Below are 16,430 nucleotides of genomic sequence, written 5' to 3'. Positions count from 1 at the left end.
AGTCCTTGGCATCAGACTTCTACTTAGATTGTTTAAGACAGCATTGGAATTCTGTGCTTATTGTATCACATATCATGCAAGGCAAAACAGAGCCTTTAAATATATAAAATGTTTTAAGGCCATTGACAGATATTTTAGTGAGATTATGTCAGTAGATTTCCTTTTGTGTTAGGAGAGTCATTATCAGCCTTTATATTGACATAGTATACAATTTTTAAATTTTTTAAGTGGATCTTGAATGAGCTGGTTCAGGTTATAGAAAAATTGTCATAAAGATAGGGGATTAAAAATTTATTGTGCCCCAGACATATTTATAATTTGACATTATAGACTTAGAAATATTTAATAGCTTTAAAGAAGGTAATATAAGGAATTATCATCGGAGAAAGAGCACTCCATAACTATTATGTCTCATTCTTTATTTAACAGATAGACTTATTAACTAATCCATGGTTTTTGTTGGGCCCTTTTTCATAGTCTTTAGCTTTGGTTTTTGACATAGCAAAAATACCCAGAGACATCTACTTCTTCATCACACTTCATAACTAAGTAGAAATGAGAAAGAAATCTTTCTTACCACGAGTCTTTTGTCTTTCCTTCCTCCCTTCCTCCCTCCCTTCCTTATTTCCTCCTTCCCTCCCTCCCTCCCTCCCTTCCTTCCTCTCACCCTTCTTTCTTCCCTCCCTTACTCCTTCTCTCTTCCCATCACAGAGGATAACAACTGTCTCACTTAGATAGCTCTTGATTGACAGAAAACAGCAGAAGGAACTAGAAATGAGTATGATTCATTGATATGCCAGTAACATCTTGGCTTCAGCATACAGTGTCTAGATGTGCTAGTGTATCCAGAATGGTGCCCAAGAGAGAAAAGTAGGTTAGGAATATATTGAGCTGACCTATTTTCCATACGTAAGTATGGGGTTATGTTTCTAGTAAGCCACACACTTTGGGTTATGCATGCAGTCTCGGTTTCTTCTCAAACACTCAATTTAACACTATATCGGGGAATGATCCAGGTACTTGAAGAAGTACAGTTAGCTATAGGCAGAATAGAATTAAGAAATCAGTGTTTGTTTTTGAGTAATTATAACTCCATAAAGGAGCACTCAAGCCCAGCCTCCACAGGGTTTTGGGTAACAGTTTAAGCAAATCATTGGGTTATTGTCATACAGAGCATCAGCGTTCAGCCACTCCATCACAGGTTGTATAATCGGGAAGATTTCCTTCAGACTGACAGCTCAGACCCAAGTGCTTTACCTAGCCCCTCTAGGAGCACCATCTAGGGAGATAAAATTCCCCATATCTAGAGATATCTCTATCTCTAGTTATGGGAAATTTAACTTCCTATAACCAAATTTTCCAGCCTTCCAACAGGTGCATCACATCAACTTAGGCTTCCCTTCCCTAAAAGGAGAAGAAAAGCTTTCAAGGGGTGAGAGAGACTTTAACAGTAGCTGCTTAAGACATAGGGGGATGAGGTGGATTTGAATAAATTCAGGCCTTGATTTGTCAGGGAGCAAAGGCGTCACCAGGTTGGCATGGAAATAGAAATAGCTCCTTGCACATCAATAAGAGATCTAGAAAACAGTAACTGCTGTTTTGTTTCCTTGACAACTTACATTGTACTAAGGGAGGAAATAACTTCTTTTTTAAGTGAAGGTTGGTGGGACAGTATAATCTTGGATTCGGGAAGCCTGAATTCTGGTGCTGGCCATGACCATAAGGCTTTTCTGTCATGGGTGTGTTGGTTAATATCTATAGTCTCAGGCCATGCATGGCAGCACACACCTGTAGTCCTGGCTATTCAAGAAGGATTGCCTGAGCCGAGGAGCTTGAGGCTGCAGGGAGCTATGAGCACATATACTGTACTCTAGCCTGGGCAACAGAGCAAAGACCCCTTTACTCTAAAAAATAAAAATAAAAACTATATATATATATAGTCTCAATTTTCTCATCTTTTAAAAAAGTCCTTAGTTAGAGCATCTCCAAGCTCCTTCTAAATTTTATCCAGTGCTCCAGTGTTCAGCCAAATGTACCATGTTGACTCTTTCCCTTTCTTTTTTCCTCCACTCTCCTCGTTGCTTGCTTCTCCTCAATTTTACATGAAAATCTTTGAAAATACTTAAGCCAAAAAATACAGTTTTGTGAGGTATTTATTAGAATGTCTTTTAATTTAAAAAATTATCTTTTAATTTAAAAAAAATGCCAAATAGTAGCCAGCCAATTCTTGTGTGCCTTCCCAGTCGTGTGTCCCATATCACATTTCAGATTTCTCTGAGCATTAGGAGTGTTATTTGTTTTTGGAGGGATATTAATTGCTTTATAGTAGTTTTAGGCCATCGTCTATTTTTCTTCAAACATAAAAGCTTTATCCAAAATATAGTCTGGAAGAAGACACTACATGGATTCATGTGCTGTACATTTATTTTTCTTTTAAGTGTATCATTGCTGTATTTTCCTTTGCTGATATATTTTGACACCTTATAGTTGTAACCTGCTGTTCTCTTTAATTGCTTATTGTTATTAATTATATAGTGGTAACGTAGTTGGCTGCTTGAGCCACTTGGCTGTAAAGAAATTCATTTATCATTATTGCTGTTGGAGCTACAGAAAATTACCAGCATTCTATCCAGAGATGAATGTTGTTGAGTTCACATCCAGTAAAATTTTGAACATGGGTCAAATCTGTAAGTGTTTTCTCCCTGCTGCTTCCCTTTGCTTCTGCTAGTCTGTGCTTTGAGTACCTACATTTTCTTTCATCTTTTGTTTCAGTCCTTGATTTGCTGCCCTTTCAGTGAAGTTTACATATTGTTCTCAGCACTCCATTCAGTGGCCTGTCCAAAGAATACCTTTTCTTTTCTCCTCATATTCCTGACTATAAATTTTCCTTCCTAGAATTTATTTATAGTAAGATTCCTGCCTTTACAACTTTGTTACATGCACATTTCATTTTAAATCATTAATGCTGACTGGAGATTGCCTTAAGCCATGCCTTTCTGTGAAAGGGGTCATCATGCCCTTAAAAACATCTACAAACCCCTTCTCCTCATTCTGTAAATGATCAGCTGTACAGCTGTCCGTTGGGATATGCAGGGGATTGATTCTAGGATACCCACTTCCATGCATGCACAAGTCCCTCAGTATATGTGGAACCCCTATATGCAGGTTTCACATCCCGTGAGTACTATATTTTCAGTCCACATTTGGTTGAAAAAAATCTGCAGGTAAGTGGACCCACACAGTTCTAACCATGTTGTTCTAGGGCCAACTGTATTTAGATTCCTAAATTGGAAAACTGCCAGCATACTGAATGACTGAATGAAAGAATGAATGATGTACACATGCAAACATGGGGGCGTTTATTTACACACATCCAGCTATTTACTGATATCTGTAGTTTCTTTAAAATCTGGGTTTAATTTAGAATACATGACCCCACAGCTGCATGTGCCACAGAACAGCCAGGCCAGAATGCTCCTCTGCCTTCTGGCAGCATGACATTAAATTCACACTAGTTAAGCCAACTTAAATTGAGCCTCCTTGAACCTTCCTAAATAAAACTAGTGGCCTTAATTACAATCAGGCAATTTAAAGGTTATGGAGCTCTAACTAGTACTGCAGTATATCACTTTAATAATGCACAGGCAAATTTCTCTAAGGGGTGGCATCGTTTGATTAGAAGAATTCAAGTTTCACAGCACATTTCCAATAAACTGTTTTTAGAAATCTTATTGCGTTTATTGTGCCATTACCTTTTTTTTTTTTAATTCTTCAAGGCCAAGTTTCTAAGGTCACACCAATAGAACAATAAAAATGTGACTCATTTGCAAATAGCATGCAGTATTGTGATTTTTGCATTGCTGCTTAATGGTTTTCTTACCATTGCCACAAAGTGAAAGGAGCAGGATTGAGCCCCTTGGAAATTAGAGAGATTTTGGCCCCCTTAACACCCCCATGTGCCATTGCAGATATGACGTGTGCTTTTGTGGTGAACTGTGATTCTATTAATAAACAGAATCAGAAGGAGAGAAGATGTCATCTTTGCAATAAGTAATCAATAATATAGTTTCTTAGAAAGAAAATTAGCTTTGAAAATGCTTGACTTAGTTTCTCATCTAAACCTGTGAGCACTTAAAACCCATGGTTGTCAAGGACCATAACATTTGCAGAAGCTGTTGAACCTCACTCAATTTCTTGTGTTTGTTTGATTTGCTTTTGTTGTTTAAAAAATCATCAGCAGTAGCAAGCCGTGCTTTCTAGCAAGGATAAACAGCTTTTCAGTGTTTGGAGACTTTCTCCTTCAGATAACTAGTGGCTTTATGCCAAGAAGAAGAAGATTAAAAAAAAAAAAAAAGAAAGAAAGAAAAAAAGAAAAGGCCCTGACCCTTGCCATAAACTCAGCACAGCAACAGGAAAACATGCCTGATGAGTGCCGTGTCCAGCACATGGCTTGTGTTGCGGGCCCCCCACTGTGTGGAATTAATATTGACTCTTGCACTGTCTCAGTTCTCAAAGATGTTTTCCCAATAGATTTAACTTTAAAGCAGGTTACATTTAGTTTATGCTGCATGAACTATCCTCTTTCGATCTTACCAATTTGTGGGGGTTTTGTACAGTACTCAAAGGTAAATATACCTGTACTTCCACTACTGCCGGAAGTCCCAGATGTAAGGGCATTAATAGAAGGTATTTGATATCAAACAAGAGAAATTTTAAACAAAGAGTATAATAAATGCATATACATCTGGTTTAGCCAATTAATTAAAAGAATGGAGCTTTGTAACATGAGAATACAGACAATTAATAAAAATTGTTTATTGGTCATGGATGTACGGTATAGAGACTTCTCTATGACTTGGGACAAATAAAAGGTAATTATCCCTTCTTTGATATGGCACTTTTTGGTATTTCAGATATAAGATACATAATAATATTTTTCTTCTGGAAATAAGGGATAAGTTTTGGCTTATCAGTTTCTTGCCAGGGATAAGTTGGCAAATTAGACAGCTACTTTGTTAATGCTTTATTTGCCAGAGTATTTTCATCTTATTTTGGGAAATAAAGAAGCCAAGCACTGTAAGGTGGATTTTGCCAGTCCGCTATGTTATATGCACAGGGTTTAATGCACAAGGGAACGGAGCAAAATTTTGAAACCCAACTGACAAACAATAGATATTGTTTTACCATCAGTCTTGGCATTTTATTCTGATGAAATTAAATATAGGGTTTGCTAAGTAGTTATTTCCCATGAATTCAATAAATATTTATTGAGTTCCAGCTATGAGCCATGTACTGTTCTAGGTACTTCGTGTACATCAATGAGCAAAACAGACAAATACCCTTGCCCTCCTGGAACTTGCACTGTAGCAAGAATAGGTGAATAACCCCAAACTGAGTTCTCAACACTCTTATGGCATTGAGATGGTCAGAGCTGCCACACACCACTCTTTGTAGGCAAGGCAAAAACTGAAATGCGTTGCTGAATTGGAAACACTGCTGTCTTCAATCATTCCATTCATCTAGTCTGTTATGTGAAATGGAAACAAATGTTTTATACTTGTATTTGCGTGCTCACAAACTTTCTTTCAAGTCAGAGAACAGAACAGCACTAAAGATTAGGTGACAAAAATTTTTTGAAAGAAAAAATGTACTCTCCTGTATTCAAGTGGGTATAAATGAGGGGGAGAATTGACTGTTCAAGTAAACTGGATCCTTTTCAGTGCAACACAGTGGCACTGTGTTAACAACATCCAAGTTGTTTAAAAGCAACTCCAATATCTAATCAAACCTGGAGGACATACATCAGACTTAGTTGGTCTCAGTCCTCACTCCCGTCCTTATCCCTGCCCTTGCCTTTTCCAGAATATTTGCTAAGAAATATCCACTACTTTCTTCTTTTCTTGGCTAACAATTTTTTTCTTGGGATGGGGAGAGGAAGAATCAAAGTGATTTTATCAGTGCCCTTCCAAAACTGGTGTTTGCAGTTTTTTTTTAATAAAAAAAAAATGAGGGCAAAGTTTTACCTTTAAAGCTATTTGTAGGCACCATGTTTTCTCTGAGACTTCAACCATGGGGTCCATGTTTAGATTCAGAATGTGAAGAAGAAAAGAAGGAACTAGAGGAGCTAATGTACTGGCCAGGTTTGAAAAACATTGTAGTCTGTGTGCTTATCCCCATTCCCTACTTGTGCCAAAATACCACTGCTGAGTCCCCTCAGTTGAAGGAAAGCCACCTTTTTGGTGGGCTGTTTGTTTTACTGTTTATTGTTTGAACAACATTCCAATGTTTTCTCCTACATGAGAATATTCTAATAAGTACTTCACACAACCTATAATAATAGCCAAGGAATTGGACGATATTGCATCTCAGAGCATCTAAAATCCCACTGCCTGCCTCTCCTCTCCCTACCCACCTGGACCTCCTGCTAGTTTCCAAGCTGCTGATGTTTATGGGGCTCTAGGCAGCCCCCGGGCTCTTTAAAATCTGCTGGGTACCATGCAGCCTACCCCAGTTGAATCATTTCCTGCTCCAGCCCTGCTGATAATGAGAAGTTCAAGGCAGGAAATAACAGTGGCAATATCAGTGGCTTTGCTTATAAAGTCCAAAAGCATTGTAGCCTTTAGACCATTGGCTAAAAACAGCCAGTAACTAAGTTAAGGTAAGCTTGCACCTGTAGATCTCCTGGAAGTGAGATTCTGACTGAGGCACACAGGATGTGTATCCTGCGGCTCTTGAGATACCTAAGGGTTAGGCACTTTGTGCACACAGTCAGGGTCCAGGAACCTGGAGCTCATTTCCTCATGTCCCAGTGTCCTTTTCCTCTTATTGTAAGAGTCTCATGCCTGTGTCTTCTGTTCCTCTCTCATGTGGCGTAGAAATACTGACAGTGCCAGACACTCCCATATTGCCAGTGACAAAACTCCTAGAAGGTGCTAGCGTCGGTCTTCAGGCTGCATTCATTTTCATGGCAACTCGTTCAAAAAAAATAAGGGCAGAACTTTTTAACTGGTATGAGAAAAAACGTTCCCACAATATGCAATTCTCTCAAATTCTGCCTTACTTTGGGGGCTTAATGACTAATCTACCGGCAGACTTTGAAGCCTAAGTCATATTCTCCATTGCCAAATTAGCACCACAGTGTGTTTATGTTACAGTCATGAAACATGTGCTGTATATAATACAACAAATTATCGTGGCTGAGTGCTATGGCCCTGGAAAGAATGTGATGGCTGTGTGCATGGCAAATTATACTGCAGTCTGCCTATTTTTCTACTCCTGGTTTCTAGGGCGAGCCAATGTAGCCGAGGGGTGAGTTTTGTCATGTATGGCTTTTCTTTGTTACTCCTCGGACCCCTAGCTTATAAATGTGTGCTTGGAAATTAACTCAAGGAAGAGGAGAAGCAAAGTAAAGGGTGGGAGGTTGGGAATTGGGTTAGGGCATAGTTTTCTTAGATTTAAAAATATATATGAGGATACAGTGGTAACACACATTCGAACTGGATAAGTTACAACTGTAGGGCATTTGATTCCTCTGTTTGGATTCTGAGGGCAGAGTTTACTCCCACTCAGATCAGAGCTTTTAAGTATGGCCCCGGCCACATGGTGATATAGCAGGAGGGGTTTCTATCTGTGGACTTTAGCCTATAGATTTATGCAGTGGAAGAGGCTGGAGGACCCTTCTGGCCAGTCTTGAGGGTAAAAGGGAGAAGGAGTTCTACTTATAAACTGTTACAAATTGGCCCTCAGTAATGGCTGTAGCGTTGATCAGACGATATAAGGGGGCCCCCAGTGATTCCTGGGATAACAGCAGCATGTAAGTCAGCCACTGAACATTTGCTTGTAGCCACTCTAGATTTTTGTTTTTATTGAAGGAAAAGGAGTATAAACATGGGACACACAGTCTGGAGGCTGCTTAAAGGGTTTCTCTTGTTTAAAGCTTATATTGAAATGTCAGTGTCTTGTGTTAAACTACCAATTGCCACCTTGGAGCTCATAATTTAAACCTGTGCTTGAGCATCCAAATGGTAACTAATATTTCTCCTGTTATAAAACAGGCTAATAAATAGTTATGTAGGTCCAGGTTTTATAAATTGGAGGTATAGAAGTTGTCATTCATCTTTGAACTGGCTTTAGACAAGCAGATGGTTTTCTTAGAGCACAAAATTTTGTAAGTGATTAGCACGTTTCCTACTAAGTCAGTGAGGTTGTAGTCCAATTATGTATGCAGACGCTTTCCTTTGAAACATTTAATATTGGAGTAAATATTTACATTAGCATCAGTCTCTTTTATGTAGACTTGATTCCTGTTTACATTTATGTTCACAGTTAAATGAAGATTAACAAATGGAAATAATTATTTTAGATGAAATTTCTATACATGTGAAATGATTTCTTAATTATACTCAAAGCAGCTTTGGTCATGCCTTTCCAGTGGGTGACCAAGACAGGAAGTTGCTGGCTTCCAGCATGGTCTCAATGGTAAAGGCCCCACTCTGACACTGGACCCCCATTGCTAGGCACATATACCTCCCTCAGTATCCAACAGAGAGGGGTATTCTGTGTGTTCTGGAAAGATACAGGCTCATACAGAAAGCTCCATGTTTGCTCATATAGCTAAATTGCATTCTGATAGTTCTTTCTCCCTTTCCTTGTGCTAATTTTTGTTTTTGTACATACGTGGCTAGAATACTTTTAAGTTTAATTGGGCAAAACTAGAGTTTTTCTAGACTTCATAATATTGCTCATTTCCTATCTAATTTTTTAGCTAGCAAAATTTCAGTGTTGTAATCAGTCTTCATTAATAGGGTTTAGAAAAGGTAGGTTTTTCCCTCTCTCTTTCAATTTCAAAGTACCCTACAAGGCAAATTGTGCTCATTGTAGAAAATCTGGAGAATATAGATAAGCAAAAAGGAGAAGAAAAATCTAGAAGTTTCGTTCGAAGATCCCATCTATAATTCTTAATTAAAAAATAGGGCTGTACTAGCCTATTATATCCTTAATGGAATATTGTAATGGTTATTAAATCAATTGACTCTGAATCTCTTTTTAATAAATGAGTCAGGCTGTATTATCCAATTACTGTCAGCTGCTACCTTTCCAGAGAGCAGAATTGGTTATTTTGATTGAATTTTTTAAGCTTTTTGGCACCTTTAGGAAGAGGAGGAGGAAAGACACAATTCAGGTTATGCTTTGTGGGCAAAATCCTGAATAGAGGTGCTGATAGTATCCCATCAAGAACATTGGCTTTAAAAATAAAACAGCAGTTACATTTACTGTTCTTTACTACCTTATACCAGATAGGGGAAAGAAAGGAGAGTTTTGAAAAGAGATGGGGTTTAACTCAGCCAGATCCCCCCCACCCAATTCTAAGGGTTTTCAAGAATTCTTTGAAAAGTCAGACATGGCTCTCAGCCATACAAAGGTAAATATGGAATTAGAAGAGAAGAGTTAAAGACTCTGAATAAGGATAAACTTTTGAAATTCTTACTATAAATAAGTTTCATTTTCTTTTACTACCTGTGCTGCCCTCAATTAAAAAAAAATACAAAATGAATTATATTAACCAGTTGTTAGAATGTTTTGTGTTACTATCTCTCTTTCTCATTATACATTTGACCTTGAGGTAATAAGCAAGTGTGAAGATGGGGGAAGGGAGTAGGGAAATGAACAAAGGTGAGAGAAAAGGAGGGACTCTAAATGTCCACCTAAGAGCTTATTGGCTTTTGCTCATCTTATAATGTGCTGTGTAACAATTCATATATATTTTCTCTCCTATGGAAATAACTAGGAGATCAGTAACTAGGAAAGACCTCACAGTGTAACTTAAAAATAAAAGGCAGGTAGAACTTCCAACTTTTTTTTTAACATTATAACGTGCTTTTAAGCTGTAAAAAGAGTTCTGAAAATGGTAGATGTGATTGTTATCATTGCTGTCACTTAGCGCTTTCACAAATAAAAGATAGAATATGTAGAAAATAAGTCTTCCCTAATAATGCATAAATACCTTTATGCCTGTGTGTCACCTTTTTATGAATTCACTTGACTGAATTTGGATTATTTAACATTTTGGGATGCAACTTCTCTTTTCTTTGGGTAAGAAATACATAAAAATGAATGAGTACATTTTCCCTGCACTCATACACATATGTCTTATTTATTTTTCCTTCTCTTATTTTTCCAAACAAAATACTCATAGTCAAGAAAGATAATATTACATTACAGAACATCCTAATGTGCATAATTCACTTTATGCTCATGTGACAGTCAATTGTTATCCCCAGGAAAACCTGCCAGATCTATTACATCACACCTATTGCAAGTTTTAAAATTCTGGAACAAGTGTATATCAGTTCATATCCATAGGCCATCTCTTGGTTCTTGTGCAAAGCACACATAATTTTAAAAGGAGATGAAAACCCGTAGTAACCTTCTTACTATTCAAAATAAAGGTATGTAGCATTAAGGAAATAGAGAACTTTTAAAGTTAGCAAGTATTTTTCTGAAGATGCACTTGCCAATCCAATTTCTTACAATAAATAGTGTTTTTTATATTTCTTAATGTCTAAAATCTGGAAATTTTTTGGTGACTTCAGGATTTTAAAAAAAGGAAACAGATGAAAAAACCCTTGATCTTATATAATCCCTAAAGCTTTTTGTATAACCCCTTGTCATGTCAGTATGCACAATTAAACTCCCTCTTACATAATTATAATCAAGGAATTTACTGTGCCACCCAGATACAGAGTAGGTTTTTATCTCTTGTGAAATGTAGACAGTACTGGGTGGCTTAATTAGTGCTTTGCTTCTCTTTTTACAAATTCCAATCCTCTGCTTCTAAAGACTCATACTTGTATGGGAAGAAAGATTAGGAATACAAATAGAGTGATTTTACTCACAGTTAGCTAATAATTACTCACTTTGTAATTGGGACGTGGTATTACCAGTAATATCAGCTGGCAGAGGACTTACACATGCATGTTGTCTTTGAATGAAAGAAAATAACTGCAGTGTAGACTTGTTACCCTTGTAGTGTGACGGTGTCTTTCATTCCCTAGACCTAGAATGTCTTAGTAGCATTTTTTAATCATTGCTAATAGGAGAATATAAAAGTGTAATGTGATAACAAGCCAGGTTAAAGTGCAGCCTCTACCCTTTAGTAAGTAGTCTTGGAAGTAGTGGGTGTGTGCTCCACCATATCTATTAAGATATGTCCCCTGAGGCCAGAGTGCCCAGGTTTGAATCTAGACTGCCTGCGTTCAAGTTCTGGCTCTTCCAATTATGAGTGCTTGTGACTCAGAGCAAAGTTACTTAAACTCTCTGCGCCTCATTTTTCTCATCTGTAAAATGAGACTAATAGTAGTTTTTCTCATAGGGTTTTAGTGCAATTAAATGAATTTGTGTCTCTGAGCAGTTCTGAAACACAGCAAACACTAAATCAGTGTCAGCTAGGCTGCTAGCTCTAGTGCCCCTGGTTTTTTATACCTTACAATTGCACAATGAAATAAGTTAGGATAATCCTTACATTTTAAACTTCAATTTTAAATTTTAATTTTAAATGTTTAAAATCCATAAATGTTTAAAATAACAGTGTCTATGTATAACACAAACTCTCCACTTTATATAGCAATGTTATGACATCAAAATATTTTTCTGCCCCCTCATTCTTAAGATATCCAAGAAAAATTCAGGGCTAGTCAAGTGAGCCTGGAGGTCACAAAAGTGCTTTGGAGAAACAGAAGCAGAGTCTGGTTCTGGGGGTAAAATTGAAACTGTCTTCCAGAGTTAAGGGAGAGATGAACTAGGAAGAATATGGGAGACTGGAGGTGCGAAGCAGAGAAAAGGGCATTTGTAAGAGACTGTCCTATTAATGATACTTCAAAATTGCCAGAAATTCTTGGAAATAGAAAAAGATAGTCTGTATCAACTGAATACCACTGAAGACCTATGGTTAGAAATAGACACTTCCAGGACCCTCTGGATAAGCCAGAGTAGAATCACTGAGGAAGAAGCTGTCCACACTTTTTTATTTTAGGGCTTTGGAAATACAGACCCCAGAAAATCATGGTAATGAGAGAAAAGGAAATGCCTCATTATTGATACACCAATTATATTTTAAAAGTGTAATAAAATGCATTAGCCTTAAGATAAAATCTGACTTCTGATTATCTTTGGATTTTAAATTCCAGAACTGTTTTAAATTGATATAAACTCATGAATAATGTGAAATAACCAGAAACCATATATAATACTACATATGTATATTAGGTGATGGAAATAGTTTAATATATGCAATTAAAGATAACTCTCTAGTGTATTAAAGATATGACAGGTTTTCATCATTTCTCTTCATGTGTTTTCCTTGACAGATGAAGGACTGAACCATGAATGCAAACTCTGCAGCCAGACCTTTGACTCTCCTGCCAAACTCCAGTGCCACCTGATAGAGCACAGCTTCGAAGGGATGGGAGGCACCTTCAAGTGTCCAGTCTGCTTTACAGGTGGGAAGATTATTTCAGGAAGACACAGGAGAGGCTGATGGCCACATCATGTCTTTCCTACCAAAGCATTACTTCCCACTGCTATGGCCTTTTACAGACATGACTTCAGTTCAATTTGGGGGGAAGATGTTTGATTTCTGCTTTATTAGCATTATTGATTGCAGCCTACTTAAAGGCTCACATGAGCAGGAAGGTTAACTGTCAGGATGAACAAAGGCATTTCAAGTTCTCTCAGAAGTTTGCACTTTTCCATTTGGAAAACTACATACATGTTGTGTTCACTTTTTTTTTTCTCTCGATGTTAAAGGTTACCAAGGGTAAGGCTGCCTGCACAGAGCTGCTTTTTAATCACAAGATGTTCAACTAAAAGTGCAGCCGTGTTGTCAGCGCATGTCTGCTACTTAAACATGGAGAATTTCATAACATTCTCCACCAGAAATACAAAGATAGTATTAAAACTCACCCCAAATTCTCTGACATGGAAAACAGATTAGATGAGGCATTTACTGCCTATGAAATTGGATTTTTAGAGTAGAAGTTGATCTACACTTATACTTTTAAGAAGAAATTTTTTAACAGATACGATAGCATTACAGATTTTAGCAGAAAAAAAAAAGTAAATCTGAAACTCTCATTTGAAGCCCATGGAGGTTGAAATATGATCACACATATTTGTGGTATTCCCCTAACAATGACAAAGTTATTTTGGAAAATCCTTTGTGATTATTTTGCATGTGTTTTGGACTCAGTGGTTAAGCCCCTCAAGCAATGCCTTTTTATTTGTTGGAGGAGGGAGAATATATCCTTCTCTCAAGGATGACTTCTTTGTTTGCAGAGCAAAATTCCAAGCATTGATTATTTACCTTCACTGAACTGAGCCTATAGATTTCTATTCTGTGATAAAGAGGGGCCATGTTCATTGCACAGCTAGCACAATTACTAACTGAGTACGTTGATGGCTCTGCCTTCAACAGTTGCCTGTTTGGCTCCTTCATTCAATAATTCCATCAGCCACTCTCCATCCTTCTTTTGGAACTCTTTTTATTCTTCCAGGTTTATACTTAAAAATATATACTGCTATGGTTTACCATCAGTAGTATATATCCTAACATACAACGAGTCAAGAGTCTAGGTTCTTTATAAAAGCTCATAAGTCTTCATAAAGGAGGACTGGGTCATAGGTCACCTCACGATTAAGACCCCTAATAAAATAGGTCTTTCATGTTGTAGCCAGAAGCCTCATAAAATGTACTGAGTTATATGCAGATTAGCTGCAAATCTATGTAAAAACCTCATTTCTTCTTGTTGATACGGATAAAGAGACAAAAATGCATTAATCGTGCACAGTCTGCATTTTCTGTGCAGACAGACGTGAATTGTTTTAGCGTATCTTGAAGTAATTTAGAAATAACAATTTTTAAAAAATGCTTCCAATATAAAGTGTGTTAGGTGGGAAAGGAAATCTGAGCAGTTTTTTAAGGTAATGAGAAATGTGATTAAAATGTATGACTCACAAGAACAATATTCTAATATTTTAGGTTGGCTGGCAATTAGAATAATTTTAATGATTAGAGTGGAGTCAAAGTCAAATGCCAACATCTTTAATAAATCCTTTCCCTGCCTATACAGATTAATATTGTAGATGCAAACTTTTTTAGGTCACAGTGCACCAGGCATCCATCAGAAGTCAGTTCTGCCAACCCAAACACTGCCTCTGGCATATACAATTTAATTATTAATAGCGTGTCTCCTAGGTAAACTGTTACACAGTCTTAGGGCCTTGTTTTGTAGTCATTAAAATTGAACATGTTTATATTATTGAAACCCTTGCATTCAGTGTGTAGGCTGAGTTGATCTTAAAGTATCCAAAGAGAATTTACCTGCCGTTCTGTTTCACATTTATAGACAGTGCCCCAGAGTAGCTGTGGGATATGATTTTTAGCATTAACACATTTAAATAGAGAACTGTTTGCTAGCTATAACTTTAGGCAAACACAATAAACAGGGTTTTGGCATCTATGATTTCTTAACCTGTGGGTTGCTGAGAAATAGGAGTCATTTCTGTTGAGACAGAGCTATGCATTTGACAGTTTTCGGCTTTATTTTTTAAAGATTTATAGGGAGCAGGGCCTCCATAAACCTTTACTTTGGAGCTGTTTGGGTTGAATTAGGTGCTCCGTAGAGTGCATCTTAACAAAAGCCAGAGACCCAACCATGAGCAAATGTGACTCAGCTCTCCCCAGGTCTCAGGCAGTAAGTCACACCTGGGAGGCGTGCTGTCCGGCCTGCTGTCTGTTCATGCAGAGTCATCGACTGAGGGCATTTCGGAAACAAAATAACCCAAGTTCATCATTCTTTTATCATTTCAGTATTTGTTCAAGCAAACAAGTTGCAGCAGCATATTTTCTCTGCCCATGGACAAGAAGACAAGATCTATGACTGTACACAATGTCCACAGAAGTTTTTCTTCCAAACAGAGCTGCAGGTAATGTCCTCATGGGGAGGACTGGGATTGAACTCAGTTGCTATTCTTATAGTAAACAGGGGCATTTTAAATCTGGATTCACAGTATCACTCACCCTGGGCCACCATGATGCTTTGTGTGTATTGGGGGCAAAGGGAAAATTAGAGCCTGGATTAATAGACACCAAAGTAATTTTGCCTCTGGCTGCTGTCAATCATAAAAAGAACTAGAACAGACCTATAATTGGACCTTCTGACCCAGTGTGATAGACTTAGAGGTCAGGTTTATTGGACTGTGGGATCATTCACCTTGCTTGTCATGACTCATTCTCCCAAATCCTGTTTTATTCATGTTCTGTTCCCACTGGGCTCCAAGCTGGGTGGATGTCCAGGTTATTGTTGTCCTGAGGGGCTTAAAATTGGAAGGGAGAGGGGAAGAAAAGAAAGAAATCGTACTCTTGTCCAGTATGTATATCTTCCATTTAATGGAATAGAATAACTGTTACTTAACCAAAGCCTTATAGTTGAAAATTTTGCACCCAAAGACATTGAATCTAGCCTTGAGTGGTCCACTTGATTAATGTGTGAGTAACCTTGGACTGTAAGTCCTCTGAACCTCAGATATGAAGAAATAAACAAACATCACACTTATAGGGCTGTTATACAGTGAAAATGAAATGATGGGTATGGATATAAGATATAAACATAGGAAGATTTGGTTATTCTTATTTTTCTTAGCTATAGACTGGTAGTTTAAAAAAAATGAGTCAGAGACCTAGATTCTATTCCAGAAGTATCATGTATTATAAAGGAAAATAATTTATTTTTTAATGTTACTTCACCTTGAAAATGGGTATAATGTCTTATCCTTATTTTTCTGATGAAATGATCTGAGAGTAACATGCTTTTTGTTCAATCTTATTGGTTCCCGTGGAGGAGAATAGAGTCGAACTGAAAATTATTCTGTTGGCCGGGCACGGTGGCTCACACCTGTAATCCCAGCACTTTGGGAGGCCGAGGTGGGAGGATCACGAGGTCAGGAGATCGATACCATCCTGGCTAACACGGTGAAACCCCATCTCTACTAAAAATACAAAAAAAAAATTAGCCAGGCACAGTGGCGGGCGGCTGTAGTCCCAGCTACTTGAGAGGCTGAGGCAGGAGAATGGCATGAACCCGGGAGGCGGAGCTTGCGGTGAGCCGAGATCACACCACTGCACTCCAGCCTGGGCAACAGAGCGAGACTCTGTCTCAAAAAAAAAAAAAAGAAAAGAAAAGAAAATTATTCTGTTATTATGAGTATTATTATTAACAACACAGGTATTTAGCCTAAAATGAGGGTTGCAGTTAATTTTCACAGTGAATCCCTGAACCAAATGAAAGAGCTGATCTGGTTGACTTGGGAGAGGCAAGACTGAGGGACTGGGAGCCCACCCACTCCTCAGTCTTCCATCCCACATTGGGTCCTGG

At 37.8% G+C, this 16,430-nt stretch overlaps 1 protein-coding gene across 9 annotated transcripts in view; it reads left to right on the top strand.

Moving 5' to 3' along the window:
* ZNF521 (zinc finger protein 521) overlaps positions 1-16,430 on the top strand; it is a 290,243-nt gene that overhangs the window by 247,720 nt on the left and 26,093 nt on the right. For all 9 annotated transcript variants that reach the window (XM_017025697.3, NM_001308225.2, XM_011525909.4 and 6 more), the window contains 2 exons: positions 12,366-12,497; positions 14,867-14,982. In XM_017025697.3, coding sequence (XP_016881186.1) covers positions 12,366-12,497; positions 14,867-14,982 — 248 coding nt within the window. The remainder of the gene's footprint in view (positions 1-12,365; positions 12,498-14,866; positions 14,983-16,430) is intronic.

The sequence above is a fragment of the Homo sapiens genome, chromosome 18 (genome assembly GCF_000001405.40).
Source record: "Homo sapiens chromosome 18, GRCh38.p14 Primary Assembly".
Classification (NCBI taxonomy): Eukaryota; Metazoa; Chordata; class Mammalia; order Primates; family Hominidae; genus Homo; species Homo sapiens.
The sequence above is the reverse complement of the archived record's forward strand: the minus strand, read 5'-3'. Positions and strand labels throughout refer to the sequence as shown.